General features: G+C 43.9%; 2 long non-coding RNA genes across 9 annotated transcripts in view; one reads left to right on the top strand and one right to left on the bottom strand.

Moving 5' to 3' along the window:
• The window catches only part of LOC105377123 (uncharacterized), a 40740-nt gene extending 25675 nt beyond the window's left edge, over positions 1 to 15065 (top strand). For 3 of the 7 annotated variants that reach the window (XR_007095943.1, XR_001740731.2, XR_940909.3), the window contains 4 exons: positions 6137 to 6327; positions 9191 to 9305; positions 11602 to 11720; positions 13830 to 15065. This is a non-coding gene — a long non-coding RNA (uncharacterized LOC105377123). The remainder of the gene's footprint in view (positions 1 to 6136; positions 6328 to 9190; positions 9306 to 11601; positions 11721 to 13829) is intronic. The other 4 variants (XR_007095945.1, XR_940913.3, XR_007095944.1 and 1 more) reach the window with 4 other exon arrangements.
• On the bottom strand, positions 12525 to 23338 carry PRICKLE2-DT (PRICKLE2 divergent transcript). Of its 2 annotated transcripts, none has more exons than NR_183712.1 (4): positions 23188 to 23338; positions 19899 to 20072; positions 17964 to 18081; positions 12525 to 13858 (listed from the first exon to the last, which is right to left on the bottom strand). It is a non-coding gene; the product is annotated as a PRICKLE2 divergent transcript (long non-coding RNA). The 2 variants fall into 2 exon arrangements; NR_183714.1 differs by having other exon boundaries at positions 19997 to 20072.
• Positions 23339 to 23626: the final 288 nt, after the last annotated feature.

Here is a 23626-nt window from a genome sequence, read left to right as displayed (position 1 = left end):
CCATAAAGGTTTGTCCTTTTCTCTTCCCATGTCCTAGTTTACTAATTATGTGTCTCATGAGTTAAAAGAGGAGAGAAAAGCCAGAAGATGCTAAAGTCTGAAGATATTCAAACAATTCTCACTCGTTTTACTCTGCTGCCCCACCCCTGTCCTGACCCCATTTAAAACTGATCTTCGACGGAGCACGGTGGCTCACGCCTATAATCCCTGCACTTTGGGAGGCCAAGGCAGGCAGATCACGAGGTTAGGAATTCGAGACCCGCCTGGCCAGCATAGTGAAATCCCATCTCTACTAAAAAAAAAAAAAAAAAATAGCCAGGAGTGGTGGCAGGCACCTGCAATCCCAGCTACTGGGAGGCTGAGGCAAGGAGAATTGCTTCCTGGGAGGCAGAGGTTGCAGTGAGCCGAGTTCACGCCACTGCACTCCAGCCCAGCCGACAGTGCGAGACTCCGTCTCAAAAACAAAAACAAAAACAAAACCCTGATCTTCCCACAAAAGGGAATGACTGGTGCATGCTACTGGAAAGCCCAGGGGAGTGGTGACCACAGCCACAGCCAGGCCCAGGCCTTCACACAATGCTGAGAAAAATCTGTCTCTGGACTCATCAGATCTTCCTTCTACTAAGAGGTCCAACCCCATATCCCATAGCACACCACCCCCACCAGAGAGAGGAAAAGAGAGAACCACTTTCTCAGTAGTCCCAACAAAATCCTAGCAAAGATTCCCATTGGACTGGCACGCCACATGCCCATGTGAAGAGACTGAGGCACAGAAATAAGGTGAGCCCCTGAGGACACACAGCCCCACCCCACCACACTGTGCCTGTCTGAGGTCATGGACTGCACTAATCAGCAACTATGGCCCAGATGCCTACCCCTGGGGTGAGAAGCAGGGGTATAGAATCAGCTCTGCAGGGTCAGCCCCACATCCGTCACCTAGACTGAAGGTTGGGGGAAGTGATTTTTCAAAGGAAACTTGGCTGCTCTTACCAGAAAAAGGGAGACTGGGTGCCAGGCAGGGGAAGCCACAACTGCTCTCTACAATGAGACTGTAGAAAAGTTTTTGACAGAGAGGATATTTTTCTCTCCAGTCTGATGCTGGGCCCAAATTTCAAAGAACGGAAGGCTATTAAAAGGGCAAAGGAAGGAAGTACTAATTAAAAGGTCCCTGCCAAGCTCTAGGGTCAGACAGAACAAAGAATCATCCATTAGGGAGGCTCCTAGCCTGGTGTTAACTGCAAGAGCTTTGGGGCGGGACAGAGGTTCAGCTCAGGGCCCTTAGATGTCTGAAACCTCCCGGACTTCATTTTTCTCATTTGTAAAATGGACATAAAATACCTACTTCTATGGTTTATTGGCAGGATTGGATGCTTTAATATATGACAAATCTTTAGGCTGGTGCTTGGCACATGGCTTGTTCTTAATACGTGGTAATGGCTGTAGTGAATGTTGCTGCTAAGCCTCCTCAAATGTTTGAGTCCTAGAGATTCTTCCTCTTAAGCCAAAAGTCTCCTCGGCTCCCCTGAAATCTTTGGTTCCTTATTTTTATTTATTTATTTAGAGACAAGTTCTCATTCTAGAGTGCAGTGGTACTATCATATCTCACTGCAGACTCCAACTCATAGGCTCAAGCCATTCTCGCAACTCAGGCACCTGAGTAGCTAGGACTATAGGTGCACACAACCATGCCAAGCTTAATTTTTTTAATATGTCATTTTGTAGAGACGAGGTCTTTCTATGTTCCCAGGCTGGTCTTGAACTCCTGAGCTCAAGTGATCCTCCTTCCTCGGCCTCCCAAAATGCTGGTTTTACAGGAATAAGCCAACCACACCCAACTCTGGTTCTTTTCTTTTTGAGGAAGAGTCTTGCTCTGTCACCGAGGCTGGAGTGCAGTGGCACAGAGTTGGCTCACTGTAACCTCCACCACCCAGGTTCAAGCAGTTCTCCTGCCTCAGCCTCCTGCGTAGCTGGGACTACAGGCATGTGCCACCTTGCCCAGCTAATTTTTTTTTTTTTTAATTTTTAATAGAGACAGTGTTTCTCTACATTGGCCAGGGTGGTCTCAAACTCCTGACCTCTAGTGATCCACCCATCTCGGCCTCCCAAAGTGCTGGGATTACAGCTGTGAGCCACAGTGCCCAGCCTCTGGTTCTTTTTTTAATAATCCCAAGATCAAGGACTTATTCTAGTACTTATGTTCCTAGAAGTCCTTTGACACTTTTCCAGAACTTTTGCTCTGACTTTGGGGTTATGCAATATGGGCCATGTCAGTGTGGACTACACTGGTGTTGTTTGTATCTATTAGATGCTGGAGAAACAAGATCCCCTATATTCCTTTGATCCGGAATATTCAAATGATGCAGTGTCTTTTCCATATTTCCTTCATGTCAGCTGGCTTTCCAAGGGCACCCTGCACAGCCACATTCCATAACCCACGTACAGTTGCCTCTGGCCACCTTTCTAGGCTCTTCCTGCAGGACGCGCTGCTCTATCTTGCCTTCCCTTCAAATCCTGCCACGGCTCTCAGACTTGACACTCTAGACCTTCCTTGTTTGCTGACTGATACAGTTGGGTGAGGTGTCTTTTTGTAGCAAATCACAGACACCAGTTGAAACAGACTTAATTATTTAATTGAAAAGTCAGAACATAGCAGGATTCAAGGACTTGAACAATATTATCAAGTCTCAGTCTCCATCTCTTGCCTCTACTTTCCTTCCTGTTGGCTTCATTCAGGGAGACTTTTCCCATCCCATAGCAAAATGGCCACCAGCAAAGGCAGCTTACACTGTGGGGGTGAATGCGTGATTTTTCCCAACTCCTCACCCATCCTGCATGCCTGCCTTTTGCCAGTGACTTTGTAGTCTCTTCCACCAGTAGAGTGCATTTGCCATCTCACTGATGTTGGGTGTAGCCATGTACTCTATTTTGGCCAAAGAAATGTGGTTGTAAATGACAGCGTGCCAGTTCTGAGCCTAGGTGTTAAGAGGAACTGCCTGTTTCCATATGCTTTCTCTTGTGCTTGTAGAATTACCATGAGGATATGCTGCAGGTAGCCTCTTTAAAAAAAAAAAGACATTTAGAGAGAAGCTGCTTCACTTGAATGCAGGCTTGCAGCTGGAAGCAGAGGCATGCCAGCTAATCTGAGAAATTGTTAGCATGATAATAAACACTTTCTGATACGTGGGGCTGAGCTATATGAGGGCTCTTTATATAGCATTGTTGTGGCCATAGTTGACTGATGCATAAACTATTTCCATTGCCACCAAAAGAGATTTCTTTTCTTCCTGACGGTTTCAATAAAAATCCTAAAATCCATTTCAATGCACCACACTTAGTTATAGGGCTGAAAGTGAAGAAGAGATGGCTCCCCACAGGAATTTGTGGTGCTCTTACCGGAAGACGGTATAAAGAATGTTGAGAAGTCAAAATGACAGGTTCTCATTGCATCATCCTTGAAGGGGCTGCGGGTACCTGTGTCCGATGTTAAGCCAGGAACCAGCCTTTTCACATCTGTACCGAACCTTATAGGGCAGAGCTCAACCAGATCTAAGAACCAGTTACCAGCTGGCCAGCTAGGGATGCCCAATACATAGCCATTGGTGTTCCACCAAAATCAAAAAGACCTAACCTCTAACTTCTCTCCCTTTCCAGGCCAGAATGGATAAGGTGGGCTTGTTCGGCTGGCAAGCTGCTATTTGGTAACTCACTGCCCTCCTCTGCAAGGCCAGTTCAACTCAGAAAAGTTGTGGGCAGAATGGTTGCTGGGTCCTGATTTAGAGCAGTCCTTTCTTTGCCAGCTCTGGTCTTCAGTTGTACTCTGGGGCTTTAATCTCTAGTGGTGTGGGTGCCCCACCAAGTCTCTGTTCTTGAGAAAGAACAGTCCTGAATTGAAAGCATGATGTGTAATAAATGGAACCCCTTTGCCCTGCTTTATAGGGTCTATTAAGTCTATTAAGCTTCCTGGTGAATATCATTGGAAATTAAGCTGATTTTTAAAACTGCAGAGGCTCTATTTTGCTTTCTTCCCCCAAATCCCACCTTTCTACCTTGACCTTTTTCCTGCTGTTTGGCAGCTGCTGTCTTTAAGGAATGCCACTTGGCTCCAAGATATTCATGGGGCATTTTTGATGGGCATTGCTTTGGGAAAGGGCAAGATTCTGCCTCTTTCTGACAGTATTGTCTTCCAAAGCTGCATGGCAACTCATCCTTCGGCAGGGCATCCATCGTGTAGAAGCTCTTGGAGCTATGAAGAGAAGATTCTGTTTCCTCTACTCCCCAGGGATTGCCCATCACTCTTGCGGTACTACACACCATCCCCATCCTTTGAATGCCAAACCTCTTCATCGAGCTGGGAGAAAATGTTGGGAGAAGGCTGGGGAGGGGGAAAGCAAACACTGGTCAGTGTGTTCACTCTGATTACACCATTGTGGGTGAGACAATAGCTACTGTGAATACAAGCAGGCAGGGTTCAATGCTGCTTTCTTCCCCTCGTCAATGCAATTTTGATCCAGCCAGGGCTACCCTGCAATTTTGATCCAGCTCAGTCTAACTGGGGCAGCCCAACCTGGAAACCAAGCCTCTCTCTGTTGGGGGGTGGCTCCTCTCATCATTTGGGAGGTTATTGGGACCATGCTTGGAACGTCCCATGAACGTGGGCCACTCCAAACCCACCAGAGCCTCCATGAACCAGCCTAATTGTTATTAAAACACATCTTTGATATAGACATGATTGCAAGTACCAATTATTAAGCTGTTGTCCCTCACCCCAGGGCCCACGAACCACTGTTTTGTGATGCAGTGGTTGGGGCTGCCATTTCTCCCGACCAGCTGGTGCCACATTTGGTTCTGCCACTAGGAGGCACCAGAGGGAGAAGGCAAAATTGAAGGATTTAAGAGGGCCTCCCACCTTCTAGTTTGCATCAGCTTCACCCTGGCAATAGCAGTCCGTTTCAGTCTCTAGCTTTCTCAACACACTCAGTACCAGCCTCTCAATCATTACTCTGCTCCGTAATTTACAAAATGTTCCTACTTAACAACGCCAGCCAGATGCAATGGCTCAGTGTGTAATCTCAACACTTTGGGAGGCAGAAACAACAGGATTGCTTGAGGCTAGGAGTTTAAGACCAGCCTGGGCAGTATAGCGAGACCCCATCCCTGCAAAAAGTTTGAAAGTTAGCCAGGTGTGGTGGTGCACACCTCTAGTCCCAGCTGTTCAGGAGGCTGAGGTGGGAGGATCACTTGAGCCCAGGAGTATGAGGCTGCAGTGAGCTATAATTATGCCACTACACACCAGCCTGGGCAACAGAGTGAGACCCTGCCTCAAAACAACAACAACAAAAACCACCTCTGGTGTTTTTTTTGTTTGTGTGTGTGTGTGTGTGTGTGTGTGTGTGTGTGTGTTTTAAATCTCAGCTCTGTGTGTGCGATTTCACTCACAACAAAGAAGAGAAGCATCAACAGCTGGTACAATAGGGAGCAGGGTCCCCTCCTTCCTAAAGATCCAATTTCATCCCGGGTGGTGGATAAGGCTAAGAAGATAAAAAATGACCTTTCACCTCTGGGGACAGTAATGTAAAATTAATTTGAGGCTTTGAACCTAATGAGCTGGCCCATCCTGGTGCGTACCCCATGAATAACACAGTATGTGCACAGCCAGCAGCCCAGCGATCTTTCTTCCTCTGATGGGGCTTGGGATGAGAGGGGGGATGAGAAAGAAACTCATTTTGAAAAATAATCCTCAGAGGAGAGAGGTCTGCTAGGTCTTCATAAACCCAGTATTAGAGGGAGGAAGAGGGGGAGGGGAGGAAGAGAGAGAGAGAGGGAAAGAGAGAGAGAATTATGTGCTTTTAATCTGCTTAGCTTTTCACTGCTGAATAGCTAAAGGGCTCAGACAGGCAAGAATATTGTGAGGTGGTTAAGTCCATGAACTTGGAGTTAGACCCCTTGGGGTCTAGGCTTGATTTGTGACTTTTTAGCTGTGTGATCTCCAGCATGTTTTTAAACTTGTGTTTTTGGGATGTTTGGATTAGATAGTACATGGAAAGTGCTTGTGTTTAGGCTAAGAATCTGGTTATTTTTGCATTTTTTGGCGGTGATTGAGGAAGGGGGGAGCAATTCGAGGGTGATTTATCCACAGAATATGAAGTCTGAGGTTTCTGCTCTGACAAGAGGAAATGTCTAACAGCAGAAGACAAAAGTGAAACCGGGCTGATGCGAATCACTGGGAAACTGGCTTTGGCACCTCCAGAGAATGAACTGTTTCATAGCCTAGCTGACCATCCATGAAAATGGCTGCCTGGAGAGGCAGTGATCAGCCCATCCCTGCAGGTATGCAAACAGAAGCTCTCTCCGCTGTATGAAAGGATGTATTCACTTCTTTCTTTTTTTTTTGGGGGGGGGACAAAGTCTTGCTCTGTCGCCAGGCTGAAGTGCAGTGGTGCTATCTCGGCTCTCTGCAACCTCTACTTCCCGAGTTCAAGTGATTCTCCTGCCTCAGCCTCCTGAGTAGCTGGGATTACAGGCACATGCCACCACACCCAGCTAATTTTTTTGTGTGTGTATTTTTAGCAGAGACAGGGTTTCAGCATGTTGGTCAGGATATTTTCGATCTCTTGACCTCGTGATCCGCCTGCCTAGGCCTCCCAAAGTGATGGGAGTACAGGCGTGAGCCATCACGCCCGGCCTGTGTTCACTTATTTCTAAGGATCTTTCTCCCATTCAAATGCTGGCTATTCCACTTGCTAATTGTGTTGCCTGGGTCATTGAATTTCTTGGAGGCTGGGCTGCTTTATCTGTGGAATCAGGCCAATGGTGCTATTGGCCTCCCTCTTATGATCTCCCTCCCTTTCCCTTTTACTCCCTTCCTGCCACCAACTAATGCTCATGATGTGCTGGGCACTGTGCTAGGCTTGGGAGATACTCAGAGGAAGAAGATGGTATAAGCACTCCCTGGGAAAATACTCAAACACTTAGTTTTAGGTTTAGAAGAAGACAGACAGATGAACAGATAATTATAAAGTAATTCCATAGATGCACTGATGAGATATGCGTTGAGTATTCTGGAAGCACAGGAGAGTGCATCTAACTCTTCAGGTGTGAGACAGAGATGGGGTCAGAGAATGCTTTGGTATTGGGCATTAGTGTAATAATTACATGGTGGGGTATCTCTGGCAGAGGAAGCCATATGAACAAAGACCCAGGGACAAGAAGACAGCATGGTGTGCAGGGAACTATATAAAAGGCAGCACAGCCGGGATAAAAAATGTGAGGGAAGAGTGACGGGAGATAAGGCTGAAGAGTTAGACAGGGGCTAGATCACAGAGGCCCTTCTCTTCCATGTTGCAAATGTGAACCATGAAACATCAGGCTGATTTTAAGTAGGAGACTGGCATGTTTGGGTTTCCATTTGGAACGACCTCTCTGGAGACTGTATAGAGGATGAGTTAGGAGGAGGCAAGGCCAGACCACCAGCTAGCAGTGTTGAAGTCAGGAAGTCATCTAAGCTAGAATGACGATGCCACGAAACATGCTTCTTACGGGGTTGTGGTGAGAATCTGATGATGGAATGCCCCGGGAAGCTTGTAGTAAGACATGAACTGCTTCCCACAAGCCAAGGGTCATTATAATTATGATCACTCTATAAAACATTGGTTTGGGTGCCCATCATATAAACTGGGTCCCTCCCATCACTTACCCAAACAGTGGCAACAAAATCCATACATTTGGTCAAAACCAGTATAAATGGTTGTTGGGCTTAACAAGAACCCTTTAAAAAGTAATGAAACCACTGGGTTGAGAAATAATTTTGCAGATGCTTCTGGGATACAGAAGACTAAATTTTGGTGCTGCTGGAAAGAATGGGGGAGAGAAGCACAATATTAAATTTTGGGCAAACTTGAAATGCACAATTAAATGCAGGCAAACTGGGAGGGCAGATGATACTCTTTGAATAAAACTTATAATAGATTTGGCACAAGAGGGTACTGGAGATGGGCCCAAATGTCTCAAATTTGCTGAACTGTTTTTGCAGACAGCTGGGAATTTACCAGCATTTTCCTTTTTTTTTTTTTTAAAAAAAAAACCAGAATATTTTGGATTTTGTAGACATGCCCTGGAATGCCCCATCTCAGGGAAGGCTAGAGGAATGTCTCAGTGCAAGTGTGGTGTCTGCTTCTACTGATGTTTATGGCAGAGCTGAAAATTGTCTTTAAAATTAACAATAGATGTGCATAAATCTTCCTCAGTTACCTAGCAACTGATACAAGACAACGCTGAGGTTCACAGGGCTGGGTGGAGGTAAACCTGTTTTAGGAAATACCTGGGAGCATTTTAGTAATGCCTGGAGATTGCTTGGAGGGAAAGGAAAACAAATTAACATGACTAATTAAATGTTTGAATTCCTTTGTTTTTTGTTTTTGGTCCTGGGTTTTTTTGTTTGTTTGTTTGTTTTTTGTTTTTGTAAAAATCAAATCAAATAACAAAAAGGTTTCCTAAATCTCTGAGGTTTCTAGCAACAACGAGGGTTTTACAAAGACTAGCTAATTTCTGAGGCCCCTTTCAAGGCTAAAATTTTTAGCCACGTATTAGCCGTATTGCCTCATGAGTAAAATGAGAGGTTAAACTAGGGGAATTGTAGTTTCATCCACATTTCTAGGGTGTATGGTGCAATAGGGCTTTTAGACCAGTTTTGTTGAATCAGACACCAAAGTCATGAATCTGGAATCAAAGTGAATTTTTTTAAAAAGAAAAGATGTTGAAATAATGAAGCAAAGAGACATGGGACTTAAGGAATACATACACACACACACATACACACACATACATTTATTCTCCGTGTGTATGCATGTATGTATTTTTATTTATAAAAATCAGTTTATACATTAGGGTCTAGGTTACAGATTCAATGCTGCATGGGCCAGCAGGTGACACAGCTACATCCCTTGCCCAGGAACCACAGTGAGCCAGAGAATGGTGGCCTAGGGCTTCCAGATCTGTTGATTTTTCAAATAGCCAGAAATCCAGAATTTGTGTAGAATCTCCTGTTGTTAAAATATTGGCAACTAATTTGAAGTGTTTTTAAGAAGCACTGTGTGGGCTAAACAAAGTGAATCTGCCTTAAAGCAAAAGTTCCAAATGTGTAATTATCTTTTTACATATTATATGGTTAATTAAGACTCACTTTATTTGACAGGGTGAAGATAAGCTTGTGCAGGCCACTGGCTAACACAGTTCATCCCATGCCTCCTACATACCAAGCACTGTGCCAGGCACTTTTCACGTCTGGCATCCTCAGAATCCTCCAAAAGGTGGGTGATATGGTTTCACTGTGTCCCCACCCAAATCTCATCTTGAATTGTAGCTCCCATAATCCCCACATGTTATGGGAGGGACTTGGTGGGAGATAATCGAATCATGGGGGCAGTTTCTCACGTATTATTCTCATGATAGTGAATAAGTCTCATGAGATCTGATGTTTTTATAAGGGGCTTCTGCTGTGGCTTGGCTCTCATTGTCTCTTGCCAACATCATGTACAAAGTGCCTTTGGCCTTTCTGCCGTGATTGTGAGGCCTCCGCAGATATGTGGAACTGTGAGTCCATTAAACCTCTTTTTCTTCCCAGTCTCAGGTATCTCTTTATCAGCAGCTTGAAAACGGACTAATACAGTGGGTGTTATTTATCACAAGAGTTTGGTCTCTACTATAAAGATGAGGATGCTGAGGCAGGGATGCTAAAATTTTTGGCCACATATTAGCTGTATTGACTATGTAGCCAATATGTAATACGTAGCCAAAAATTTCAGCATGCAGGGGCATGCTGAAGATCAGGTGACTCCTGAGTCCTAGACCCTCCATTTCAAGTCCCTTCTCTCTGACTCTAACTCTCCAGCTGCCTGCTCTTAGGACTCTGACTTACCTGAAACATTTCTCTGAAGATGTGTTAGGAAGCTGTCTTAGTTTGCTAGGGCTGTCATAACCAAGTACCACAGACTGGGTGGTTTAAAAAACAGACATTTATTTTCTCCTAATTCTGCAGGCTGGAAGTCCAAGATCAAGGCTGGTTTCTTCTGAGGCCTCTCCCCCTGGCTTGCAGTTGACTGTCTTCTCCCTGTGTCTTCATATGGTCTTCCCTGTGTGTGTGTGTGTGTGTATTTGTGTGTCTGTGTCCTGATCTTTTCTTATAAGAACACCAGCTATATTAGGTAAGGAGCCACCTGAATGACCTATGTTTATCTTACTTACCCCTTTAAAGATTCTATTTCCAGATACAGTCACGTTCTGAGATATCAGGGATTAGGACTTGAGCATATGAATTTGCGGGGGGAGGGGTGGGGGTGGCATAATTCAACCTGAAACAGAAGCCATCAAATTTTTTCCCTCATTTCTTTCCCTTGAATATTATTATTGGAAGGACAGAGAGAGATTTTCTGAGCCCAAGGAATTGGAGCACCTGAGGGGAGGTGCTTATCTCCTGACCCCCACCCCCCTAGGTGACCTGGCTGGCCGCAGCTCAGCCCCAGAAGAAGTGGTATATTCGCACACTGGAGCCACAGTTAACCAGTTCCCAAACCACAGCTTCAATATTTTAGAATGCATAAAACATGAGATCACATTTAGCAATGGCACTGTTTTATTTGGCATCGCTGGGTATATCCGCGTGTGTCTTCATCTAAAATAATACTGATGCAGATGAGAAGCATTATTTATCATGTCAAAAATTAGAAACAACCTCAATGTCCAACAATGGGGTTTAATGGGATAGAATTTTATGCAGCCTTTGGAAACTGCTGTGGAAAAGTATTTGTGGTGTGAGAAAATAATCATGACAGATGAAGTGGGGGGAAAAAGCAGGTTGCAAAGAAATAGGTATAGTTGGATCCCAATTTTTTGAAAAAGGTTTATTACATGTACATATTTATAGGTATATATGTGTGTATATATGTGTTCATCTGGAAGGCTATACCCCAAAATATTTAAAATTGTTTTCTTGCAGTGATGGAATTATGTGTACTTTAAGTTTTTTTTTCTGTTTTTCTAAGTGTGTGTCCCATATTTTCTAAAATAGACATATTACTTTTGCAATTCAGGGGAAAACCTTAAAGATAAAAATCTTGATATCCACTCGGTTTATAGAAAGTTTCCTCTAACTTAGCCTTTTTCATAAGGAGCTGCCTCACAGCTTTCCACATATGGCTGCATTTACAAAAGTGTAATTTACTCACCGTTTTCCAGATACAGCTCTCAACCACAATTACCTGGATTCTAGAATAATTTTTGTGACTGGTCTGAGAACCTCTTCTCTATTTTTGTTTTTCCACCTGGCACTATTTTCTCATTAAAGGAGTTTTAGGAGTGAATGCAGAGAAAGCGTGGAGCCCCAAAGCCCTGGAAAAAAAAAAGCCCTTAAAATAAATAAATCAGTGGACTAGTTTAATGTGTCTAAAATATCATCCAAGGAGACCCAAAAAGAAGCAGGATGTAACTTCACAGTGACTTTGTTCCTTCTATTTCTCTTTACTTATTTGAGAGATCCTTTAAGCACACTTCCCTTTTAACAGAATGTGCTTTGGCTAAATACTCCTATGATGTTATGCTTTTACAAAGGAGAGGTTCGTGGAGGATAATGCTGTCAGGCTTGGAAGCAGCAGTAGAGATCACGTTGCCCAGCTCTTGGCATCATTGGTTCCCAAAGCTCTGAATCCCCTGGAGAGCTTTTGTAAAAGGTCAGTGCTCCACAACATGACAGAAATAGAAGGGGCCTGGGGCTGTGGGTTGTGAAAGCTGTGATTCTTTTGATGCTCAGCCAGGTTGAGGAACCCACTTCCCTACAGCTCCTGCATTCCCTCCTCAATGTCACAATAGGTGATTACTTGAACACTTGCAGAGATGGAAAATTCTCTTCCTCAAGAGCTAGGCTTTTCCATTCTCGGACTGCTGTGCCTATTGTAATTCTTTTTTTTTTTTTCATATACTCTAGATTCCTCCAATTCAGGGAGCAAAAAATGGAGACATTTTGTTAGTGTAACCCAAATAAATCGCAAGGCCCCATGTAGTCCAATCTCTGCGTAGAGCCACATCTTCCAAAGCGAAAATAATTACAATGGAAACTTTACCTGCAATACCCAGAGAACGTTATAAGGGGCCCAACTGATAACCCATGGTAGCATTTCTCAAAATCCTTTTCTCTTTCTTTCTTGATTTTCTCAATTATACCAAAGCTTCTCATTCACCACCCCAAACCCAAACATCTCCAAGAGCAGCCCACTTGCCTTTTCAAGCTCTCTGTCTTTGACCTCTGTTCTCTCTCAGCAATACAGTATTTAGGTTGATTTTGCCTGTCTGACTGCCTTCATCCCTCTCTCTGCCTTGCCCATTACCCAGACTTTTCACAACAAAGGAGAGCCCATGAAATGTCTAACAAAAATCTTTCCTCCTTTCTTCCGTTCTACCTGGGCCTGTTTCTTTTTGCCCAACATCCTGATTTTGCATTTTTTTAAGCCAGAAACTGGGGAAAGGAGAAGCAGATATCAAAGACAAAATTCCCTTTATTGAAAATGACAGGAAAGGGTTAAAATTGGGCACTGTTGCACATTAATAAGCCTTGTGTTCATCACAATAATGACTTCCCCATCTGCCATTGCAAGACCACAGACCCCTACATGGTTTACACATTTGCTCCTCATTCTTCTTGCCATCTCCCCACCCCTAACATGTGTCATAGGTGTTCACAAACAAATCCCATCAACTACCAACTCAGGTATGTATTTTTTTTCCCCATGCCCTACTCTAGTTCCCTCCCTCTGATAATGTCTATGGCTAAGTTCTTCCCTGATTACCATGTTGGGGGATATTAAACAATACTGCTTCATGCACCAGTGACTTATAGTGAATTATGCCATCACACTTAGAATTTTAGTCTCTTCATGAGCTAAACCTGATGACTTAATTTCTCTGTGTGTCAGCTTCCTCATCTGTAAATGGGCAACCATAAAAATCTTACTCAAGGTGTTGTGAGAATTAAATTAACTTGAGTAAAGTGCTTAGCACTGCAAAATGTTGGCTCTCTACATATACCAACATTTCCATTCTTCTTTTTACCATTCTTTTTTGGAGGGGACAGGAAGAAGAGAAAGGTGAGTCTGCTAGGAAGTGAAGAGGACCTGGTGAAGACTTAGAGCAGGAGCCAGCAAACTATGCTAGACCAAACTGGACCTACTGCCTGCTTTTGTAAACAAAGCTTTATTGAAACACTGTCACTCTCCTTCATCTATGGCACTTTTGTACTACAATTGTGGAGTTGAGTTGTTGTGATAAAGACTGTATGATCCACAAAGCCTTAAATAGCTCCTATCCGAACCTGTACAGAAAAATTTGCCAACTCCTGATTTAGAATATAAAAACAGAATCACTTTTTCATACACTTTGCCATTGATGAGATGAATGTCATATGAGGCTTTCTCTTTCAAGTGAAGTGGTTAACTATTGTCTGAGTTTCTGCATCTGAGTCAACCCTTACCGACAGCAAGAGTTAACATCTCTGAGGCCTAATCCAAAGTAAGGTTATGTTCTTTAGAAGCCTGGCCAGTTCTCCTAGGAATACAAGGAATGCAGTGTGAGATAGTATTGCAATTCTGATAAGGCCACTGGGACAGGGATGCCCAAGGGCTCATGCATGTCCGTGCTTCTCCTCTTCTTAGGCGCAAAGCTAGATGATGCTTTCCGGTTCTCTTGCAGTAAAGGAGGCCATGTCTCAAGCTTGTGCCAATGAAATCTGGGGAAAATACGTCCACCAGTCCTCACTGACTCTTTACCTTCTCTTTTCTTGTCTGCAGGTCGGATTCAGACAATCCGGTGGAGCACTCTGAAATTTAGAGGAAGTGGTCAAATAGAATTTTCTGGAATTATGGAAATCTTCTATTCTGTGCATCTAGTATAGTAGAATCTAGTCACATGTGGCTTTTGAGAACTGGAAATATGGCTAATGCAACAGAGAAAGTGAATTTTTACTTTTGATTCATTTAAATATAAATGGTCACATATGACATCACTGCCATATTGGACATTGCAGTTCTGGAAGATGGCAGATGCAGCCCTCAGAAGAATTATCAGCCTGAATGTCTGGGCGGAGCAGAGCACTACCTTCCCACTCACTCTTCCCCTCCTCTCGCCCCCTCCCCTGCCTCACTTGCATCAGATTATGATGTGAGCAAAAGCAGGAAACAGCTCTTTTGATAGGCCTGTGAGACTTGCTGTTCGTTGGAGTAGCTAGGCTGCTCTGACTCATACAGACCCAAATCCTGGCAACCACTTTTATGAAGAAATGACAATTCAGTCTACTACTTGTCCATTTTACATGCCCAAGGAATGTGAGGGGCCTCTGCTTGGATCTAGTTTTCAACCTAGTCTATGGCATTGATTATCCTTTTAAAAGACAAAAGAGGTGACTTCACGGGCACTTAACATCTTGGCCATACTGACCCCAGTTGCACGCTACGTAGGAAGTTTTAGTCCATTTAAACTGAAGTTCCAATTTTTTTTTTAACAACTATTTAAAAATTGTACATGTCCCATACATGACAGAGAAAGGGTTGTCTGGTTGGATGATTTTTGGCTTGCAAAAAGAGAACACAAAAGAAAAGCATACGTTTTAATACTCAAGAGACCAAATTTTCTGCTGAAGAGGAAATGAACTACATATCCAGAAGGGTCCTACCAAGAGGCCAAACAGACTGTGTTCTCTTGGGGGAGTTCTCAGTGGTGATGAGAACACCACTTTTTTTTTTTTTTTAGTCATTTTCAAGGTGAGATATTGACTTGCTGCTGGAGCAGGACAACTGGTCTCTCTTTCATTGCTAGCAGCAGAGTAAGGGTCTTGCAAGTTTCAGGCAGCAGCAGAGAAAGGGTCTTGCAAGTTTCAGTCCAAAGCAAGAAGAGCTAGGATTGCACCAGCTGTCTCACCTACTCTGTGCTCACCTGTTTCTGGATGAAGCACGGTGACATCTGTTTTATTGTAAAGAGAACCAACTTTGGAATCAAATGGAACCTGTATTAAAATCCTGAATCCGTCACTAGCTTGGACAAGTCACTTCACTTCTCTGAACCTTGTTTTATTCCAGTTAAGAATAATAGTAAGCCAGTCCCACAGAGCTGTAGCAAGGTTAAAATGAATGGTTGTCTGTAGAAGCATTTAAAATAGGGCTTCATACAGAGCCAGTACCTGGGGAGACTGAGGGTTTGAACCACATAGTTCCACTCTGGCAAATCACAGAGGGGCTGTAGGATGGTCCTTTAAGGGGGATGTGTTATGGGTTAATTGGAACAGTGCTTCTTAAACTCCAGTGTGCATTCATATTGCTTAGGGGTTTTGTTTAAATGCAGATTCTGAGTTACTAGGATTATGCAATTTGAATGAGCTTGCAGATAATTTCATGGCTGCTGGTCTCTGACATCACCTTTGAGAAGCAAAGAATTAAAGGTCCTGTCCTGATCTGTCTCCTTCTCCTGTTATCTGTGCAAAAGAGATATACTGTCTACTTTGCATAGTGAGATGGCAGGTACAAAAGTAGGATGAGGATAATGTAGCATGAGCACAGAGAAGGAAAACCTAGGAGGATGAGTAAAGAAATCATGGGAAAAGAGATAGATTCAAGGCTTTCAATCCTGACTAGACTTTAAATTCACCTGGAGAGCTTTAAAAAAACTAGCCATTGTCTGGTCCCAGGAATACTGATTTAATTGATTAGGATGGGACCAGACATGACATGTTAAAGAAAATAACTCCCCAGATTATTCTAGTGTGTAGCCAGGGTTAAGAACTGCTGGGCTAGACAAATGAGACAACTTTCCCAGATGGAAAGAATCAGGAAGGGGCCTTATCAAGATATTATGTCAGGTTTGGTTTTCAGGGGGCTGATAGGAAAGAAAAAGAAATGCTTCATGGAAATTGCAGGTAAGACAGGCCAATTGGTTGAAACCTTGACAAATCAGACCATTTGATCAAATTGTTCCCAAAATATGAAAACTCTGTCTCAACCGAAATAATCACTTAGCTCTGGGACTCTAAAGCAACCTGTTTGTCTGTTGGGAAGCTAGGGTAAATGTGAGAAGTGAAATCCATGCCATTTTTTGGAACTGGAGACTTTTTAATAATTTCATTAACATTGTCAGTTTGGTTGTCCTCTGTGATCAGAAGCTGTCGAATGATGTTCATTTGAGTACAGAAGCCAGCCCTTTCTGTAGCATTAACCAGGCCTCAGTCCAGTGGATCTCTACAGGGTGCCACGAGCCCAGCACAAGTGCTCCAACACATTCTGACCAATGAGCATAATTAATTTGTTGTAATTGACTTTACACTCTTGAAGCCCAGGTGTAGACTTCCTTCTTGTTACCAGAAGCCAGCTCAGACATGGCCCTTTGCCAGCCTCAACACAAAGCTCAGCTCTCTTCCAGGGTTCCCTAAGATCTAGGCACGTCAAGCATCTGAAAATAATATGGTTTTACAGAAGATTCCTTACATCCTGCGGTGGGGCCAGCTCAGGCACTGAACAACGTTTTGTTTGAGCAATCCCCATTGGACACATCTCTCCCCCGAATCCCTGTCTGCACAGCCAATAAGGTGATTCTCCTCTGTCACCCTCCTTAGCCCTTGCCCATTCTTTTATTCCTTTACAAGACAGCTGGGTTTAGCCCTGTCCTAAGTGCTCCACACTCGGCTGCCTGCACCCAGGCATAGCAAACACAAAGCCCTTCGGAACCCCAGGCCCACCCTCTTTAGATACATGTTATAAACTGTTACTGTTGATGAGGTCATTCCAGTGGGTGTCAAGCTGGGCACAGCTTCTGGTAAGAAGAAGAAAGCATAGCAGATTCACATCTCAGCCAAAGAACCTGGCTGTGAAAAGCCTTTGCCTAAAAGGTCATGCAGTCCACAGTTCTGCCACACAACTGCAGCCTGGAATCACATGGGGAGTTCTTAAAATGCTGATGGCTGGGCTGTACCCCTGAAATTCTGATTTAATTGGCCTGGGGTGTGGCCTGGGCATTAGAGTTTTGTTAAAGTTCCCAAGTCATTCCTGCCATGCTGCCAAATTTGAGAGACGTTGTTCTAAAGAGGCTTAGCGATAAAGGCCAAGTGAAAAGGACAACCAGTCCTACGTTATAGTTGCAATTGCTTTGTCCTTATTACTGACCTGTTTGGTCTTGTTTTGAGTCTTTTAATCCCTTCAACTGAACTCTCCAAAATTCTACTATTGGACAGTATAGCACAGAAAGTTTGGGAACCACTCAGTAATTCTGAATCTCAGTGAGACAGAGGCCATTAAATGTCTCTCTCTCTCTCTGTGTGTGTGTGTGTGTGTGTGTGTGTGTGTCTGTGTGTGTGTGTGTCAGAGAGAGAGAGAGAATTTATTTTTGAGTTAGAATTGAGGAGAAAAATGAGCTCTGTGTGGCAAACCAATAACCTTGGTTTCTTGATGACGCTCAAGTATAGACTAGTGAAATAGGGGAAATAGTGTGTTTGGAAACTGCCTCTCCTCCCCTTTTCATGGTTTCTATTCAATTAATGGAAGCTATGACAAACTCAGTCAATGCAGAAAAATGATACAAAGGCTGGAGGAGAGCTCAGGGAAAGGAGCAGCTTTGCCAGGTGAGCTGGAGAGAGTGGTTGGGGATTATGGGGAAACAAATGCAGTCAAGGGGAAAACAGCAAGAGAAAGTCCACCCACCTCCCCCAAAATATGCTGTTACCTCAGACCCATGCTGGTCCTTCAAATGCATTTTTGTGTGAAGGGGCACTGGGTGCACCCAGAAGGTGCACAGCAGGGCAGTCTTGTGTGTGTTTGCATGTGTGTCTGTGTGAGAGAGGGAGAACATCTTAACAGAAAGCTATCCCCAAAGACGGGAAGGGATCATGAAAACTTGGGACAACAAACCTAGTTTTCGTTCCTCCTGAAACCCCCTTCTCTTACCAGCATACGTGTCGGGGAAGTCACACAGCTTCAGCGAGTGTTTGTTTCCTTTTCTGACCTCACTGTGAGTCTTGGAGTCCCAATATAATACTTTTGAATGTATTCTGCAAACAGTGGCCTGGGACACAAGTGAAAGGGATTATCAAAAAGTCAACTTTGCATATTTGTGCTTGTTTAGGAGTATTGGGAAAACAGGGAGCACAGTACTCAAAAGTCCTCAAATCCCTGGTTGTTAAAGGGAGTGATAGAAGAGCTGCACCAAAAATATACTTTTTTTTATTATTACAAAAGACACATATGTTCATGGGGAAAACAACTCTAGAAAATTGTGAGGAAATAAAATTTGAAATTTTTTCTTTCTAAAGAAAACTAGTATTTGTTGTACATGATAATTATGAATATTTGAAACCCATTTATATTTCCAGTTTCAAAGTGTTTCTTAATTCAAAACAATACTTGCTTCCTGTAGAAATTAAGAATATATAGATAAGAAAAAGTAACAAAAGCCCCCTATATTTTATCATCTATAGATAACTCTTAGTCTTCAAGAGCTTCTAAAAGTCAAGTAATTATTTTATATTTTCACTTTTAATTATTATAAAAGGAAAACACATTCTGTTTTAAAAAATTAGATAAGCAAAAGAGAAACTATTAAATCACTTGAAATTCAATCCCTAAAACAATCCTAACCAGTAACATTTTTTGTTATAGTCGCTGGACTTCTTTTTTCCAAATATGTGTGTATCTTTGAAAGTATAAGAGGTACCCCAAATCTTTTGCAAATGTAAATTCATATTGTTATTTTGTAGTCTGGTTTTAAAAAATTTTCTCATATCCTACATCATTTTTAACATCTGGGCAGAATGCCATTGGAAGGATGTACCATTATTTATTTTTACTTAATGGATCCTTTAATGTTAGGTATTTACATGTGATTTTTCTTTTCGTCTTAGAAACAACACTGTCGTGACTGTCCCTCAAACTACAGTTTTCCTTTTGCTTTGTAATTTGCTTTTCAGGATAAGCTGAGCCCATGGCACCACACAATTCCAAGACTTTTCAAAGAGAAATGTATATGCTGTTTAGTGTAGTACTTTATATCTTTTCAGATATTTTTGCTTTAAGTATATTAGGATATACTTATACATTTAAGATTATTTAAATCCTGTGAAACAGCCCACCTGCACTGCTCTCTTTATTCCAGTTATCTCCTGATTTAATTCTTTCTGATGACATATGTCTGATTCATGCCTAGACAAGAAAATGTATAGACTACAGAAGAGTGCTCATTGGGAGGGAGGAGGAAAGCCCCTCTATAAACCCACCACTAAGAAAAAAAACCACCTTTCCAGTCATCCTGAACTCCCCCATCACCATGGCTTTAAATACTCTTTTTAAAATTACCATTTGTAGACTTCTGACTCAGAGGACGCTTTGATAGAGCTGCTAAGTGTTGGCTACTATTCAGGGAGATTTTACCCCTTTTGCCACATTCAGAGTTGTTTCTGGTAGGTCACGGAAATAAGTGTGCACATGTGTGAAGCTGCTCTGAGCTACTGTGTTCTTTCCTAGTTTAGAAAGTACTTTTTGGACACATTGCTGAGGTTTCCCGCAGGTATGTGAGCACAGTGGGCCAGAAGCTTTGCCTGGCTTAAAAGTCACAGATTTATACAAAAAAAAAAAAAAAAAAAAAATAGAAAAGCCAAACTACACAAGATAGGAACCTATATATAGGTCAAAAGAAGGGGAGACACAGAGCTTCTCGCTGCAGCTGATCCAGATTTGATGTAAGAAGACCTCCGACAACAAGGGCACAATTCTCAATTTAGATAAATACTTTTACATTTCTGGTTATGAAATGAACAGAGGTTCATTATAGGAAACAGATTTAGGAGGCAGAAAGGAAACAAAACCTTATAATTTCACGATCAATACATTTTAACGTGTTGTGTATTTCTTTCCAGTTTCTTGATGCATATTTTAGGAGCAATTACAGGCAGACAGTCTATTCGGGTTTTGTTTTTCCACCTTACATTATAGCAAAGGCGTCTTCCCGTGTTGACAATTATGTATGAGGATCTCTTCAAGTTCCTTTAGTAACTGTATTGCCTTGAGAGATGAAGAAAAAACATACATCAAAGATGCCTATGAACAGCAAATGCAGTGATAAAGCAAAAGAAAACTGTCTACTATTCACTTGCAGCTGACAGCAAGAATGTTTTTTTCCTTCCTGGGTTACTAAACTTTGTCTTTCTAAGCAAGATAAAGTGGTTGTTCAATAGATAAGGAAGATACTACCTCTCATACATGAACCTCAGGGGTAAATAAGCCCATAGAATACTGGTTCAAACTCAGAGGAAATAGAGCAGTGGGGACTGGGCTTAGGAGGGGGTTCTTTTTATGGCAAGCATCAGGAGAAACCCTTGGAGCACTGTTTGTGGGTTGGGATTGGGCCACATGCACCTGGCTTATTCATACAACATTTAAAGTCCACTCACATCTTCTTGGCATCTCCTCTTTGACCACACAATAAAAGTTAAAGGCCAGAAACACTCCACACATGCTCCCAATGATGTTGTTATCATTGCACCCTCCACCAGCCATATCTGAGGCAAGACACCTGCTCCTAGCTCTTGTAGCTCCTTTGAGGGAATTTGAATAAGGCAACACTTCCTCAAGATATTCACCCTCCATCTGTTGGAAACTTGTAATGCACTAATTTTGTTACTGACCTTTGCTAAAAATTTTCATAATTAAAATACTAATAGGCGATATCCACAATCACAATATGAGCACTTCCCTAACCTCCTGGCATTTTCCTCCGGATACAAGGCCACGTGCAGTACAGAGCTGGGTGTGTGGTGCCCTGCTGAGAAAGCCAGGTGAGCATCCAGCCCTGGTACTGACTGTAACCTGGGGCTGTGATTGCTAACATCCCCTCCCCCTCCCCCTGCCTAATCTACTGCCTTAGATTTAGTTATTTAACAAATGTTTGTTGAGCATCTGAAATGAGCCAGATGCTGTGCTAAGCCTGGGCTAATGAAGAGATAGAAAAGCCGGGGCATTTACCCTCTGGGGGTATATCATCTAATGGTGATAGTTGGTGGTGAGTAACTTAGATAAAGCAATATAAGGAAGTCTATCCTTAATGTCCCTGAGTTTTTGGAACATTTTTACCAGGGCCAGGACTAAGATAAGGTGAGTGAGGCAGGGTTATATAAGCATGGGGTAGAATCCTGTCTTTGTTTAAAATGATATTCTGTTCATCATGGAGTTTTTTTTGCTGTTAACTTTGATTCTTTAGAATATTGAATAAAAACATGGTTTATCTTGGTTACTGAGTTTCTTAGCATCCCAGTACATTTTGCTCCTAAAGTAAAGGCCTTCTTTGCCTCACCCTAATTCCGGCCCAGAAACCAAACCAAACTTTACTGTCTAGGCATGAGGACAATCAGCTGACACTGATACACTGGGTGTGTCTGAGTTGTGGCCCCCTATTCTTTTGAATTTGGGGTGTAGGTGGTTTGGCCTTGCCACTCATTTGCTGTGCCACTCCAGGCAAACACCTTTTCTTCATCAAAGTTCAGTGTCTCATCTGTAAAACACTAAGTTTGGACAGTTATCTTTTTTGACAATGGGAAGAACGTCTTCTTTCAAGAAATATTTATAGAGAACCTACTAGAGGCAAGCATTGCTACAGGCTCTAGGGCAACTGAGACCAAGAAGACAATGTCCTTTCTGTTGTGCAACTTGAGTTTGGGTGAGGACAAATAAATAAGCAAACAAGATCACTTCAATGGATGCTACACATTATATTAGTGTGTGCGAGATCATATTAGTACGAGAGATGTTACAGCGGGGGCGAGGAAAGTTCTCTCAGGGAAGGTGGTATTTGAGTAGAAACATCAATGATAAGCCGGCATGTGGCCTGAACCTCTCAGACTTACTACGTTTGACAGCTAATCTTTATTTTTATTTATTTTATAAAAACAGGGTCTTGCTCTAACACCCAGGCTGGAGTGCAGTGGGGCCATCATAGCTTACTGTAACTTCAAAGTCCTGAGCTTCAGCGATCCTCCTGCCTCAGCTTACCAAGCAGCTAGGACTACAAGTGCACACCACCATGACTGGCTAATTTTTTACTTTTTATAGAGATGGGTCTAGTCAGATTGCCCAAGCTGGTCTGGAGCTCCTGGCCTCAAGAGATTGTCCTGCCTCCCCCTCTGAAAGTGTTGGGATTACAGGCGTGAGCCATGCCAGGCCATGACAGCTAATCTTTAATGAGCCTGAGTTTGTGCCTGTTATAATAACTAAACATGCCCCAACTCAGCTCTCTCAACAATGGTGTGAGATAAGGACTCTTGTTACATCATTTAAAAAAATTATTATCGATAAGGAGACAGAGGCACAAAGAGGTTAATTTGGGGAGATCACCAACTAGGAAGTGATGGAAAAGGTAATGGGAAAAAAGGCACTAAAGGCGCAATGGCTTCAAAGCTTGAATGCAATGAATCAACACTTACTTAATGAGCATCTACTATATTCCAGGCATTGTACAATTACATAGGGGCATAATTCCTCCTCCTCCTCCACTTTCTCTTCCTCTCCCAACACCTAATGAACACTAGATTCTAGGCATGGTACAAACTTTTAAAATAATCCATTTTCGGGGGTGAGAGCGCCGTTCTATAGCTTGATTGTGGTGGTGGTTACAGGTCTGTACGAATTTGTCAAAACTGGCAGAACTGTGCACTAAGAAAGGGTGAATTTACTGTATGTGGATTATACCTTAAACAAACTCAACCCTCATCCTTCCATCTCCACTCCCCTACCCCAGCTACAGCGGCAGGGGGGTGTGAAACGGTCCCTGCCCCTAGGCTGGGGACAAGGGTGAGGGACGAGCCTTCAGGGGCGGGACCAGGTAAGCGCCGGGAGTTGTGCCCAGTGGGCCTAGAAGCCAGGGAAAGGGAGAAAGTGGCCCCAGCCGGGTGCGGGGGAGGGATGGGAAGAGCCGGTGGACCGCGGGGCGAACCCGGGAGGGCGGGGGGATGCCGGGAGAGAGGGAGGGACCTGCGGGCGTGGAGGGAGAGGCAGAGGGAAGGGAGGAGGGGTAGGCGTGCGCTCCGGAGCGAGCCGGGGACTGCAAGGCGGAGACAGCCAGGCCAGCGGCCGCCGAGGGTGCCCGCCCAGGCTACCCGCCCTCCCGGCCGCGGCGCGGACGGACCGACGGACGGCGCTGCGAGCAGGAGGCGTCCGGCCATGTTCAGCCGGAGCTCCCGGAAAAGACTCTCCAGCCGCTCGGTGAGTGTCCCCCGCTCGAGCGGGGCCGATCGCCGGGCACCTCCAGCCGGCCGCGAGCGCCCGCGCGCAGCCCCACTGCGCCCCGCGGCTGCGCACCTGTGGCCCCAGGTAAGCCGGCCCCGCGGGCGGGGCGCGTCCAGGGCGCGAGAGAGCGCTCCAAGGCGCGGGAGGGGTTAAGTTCCGACCCCCCGGCTGGGCGACAGTGAGACCCGAACCGTGGCCCTCAGGGTCACAGTCTGGGGGATCCCTGGAAAGCCCCCTCCCTCCGGGCAAATCGGAATCCCAGCACCAAAGCTCCAGCGTCCAGCCACTTGGAGCTCTAGCGGGGACTTTAGGGCCGTCTTTTGGGGTGTCCTCTGCTG

The sequence above is a fragment of the Homo sapiens genome, chromosome 3, assembly GCF_000001405.40.
Source record: "Homo sapiens chromosome 3, GRCh38.p14 Primary Assembly".
In the NCBI taxonomy this organism is placed as follows: Eukaryota; Metazoa; Chordata; class Mammalia; order Primates; family Hominidae; genus Homo; species Homo sapiens.
The sequence above is the reverse complement of the archived record's forward strand: the minus strand, read 5'-3'. Positions and strand labels throughout refer to the sequence as shown.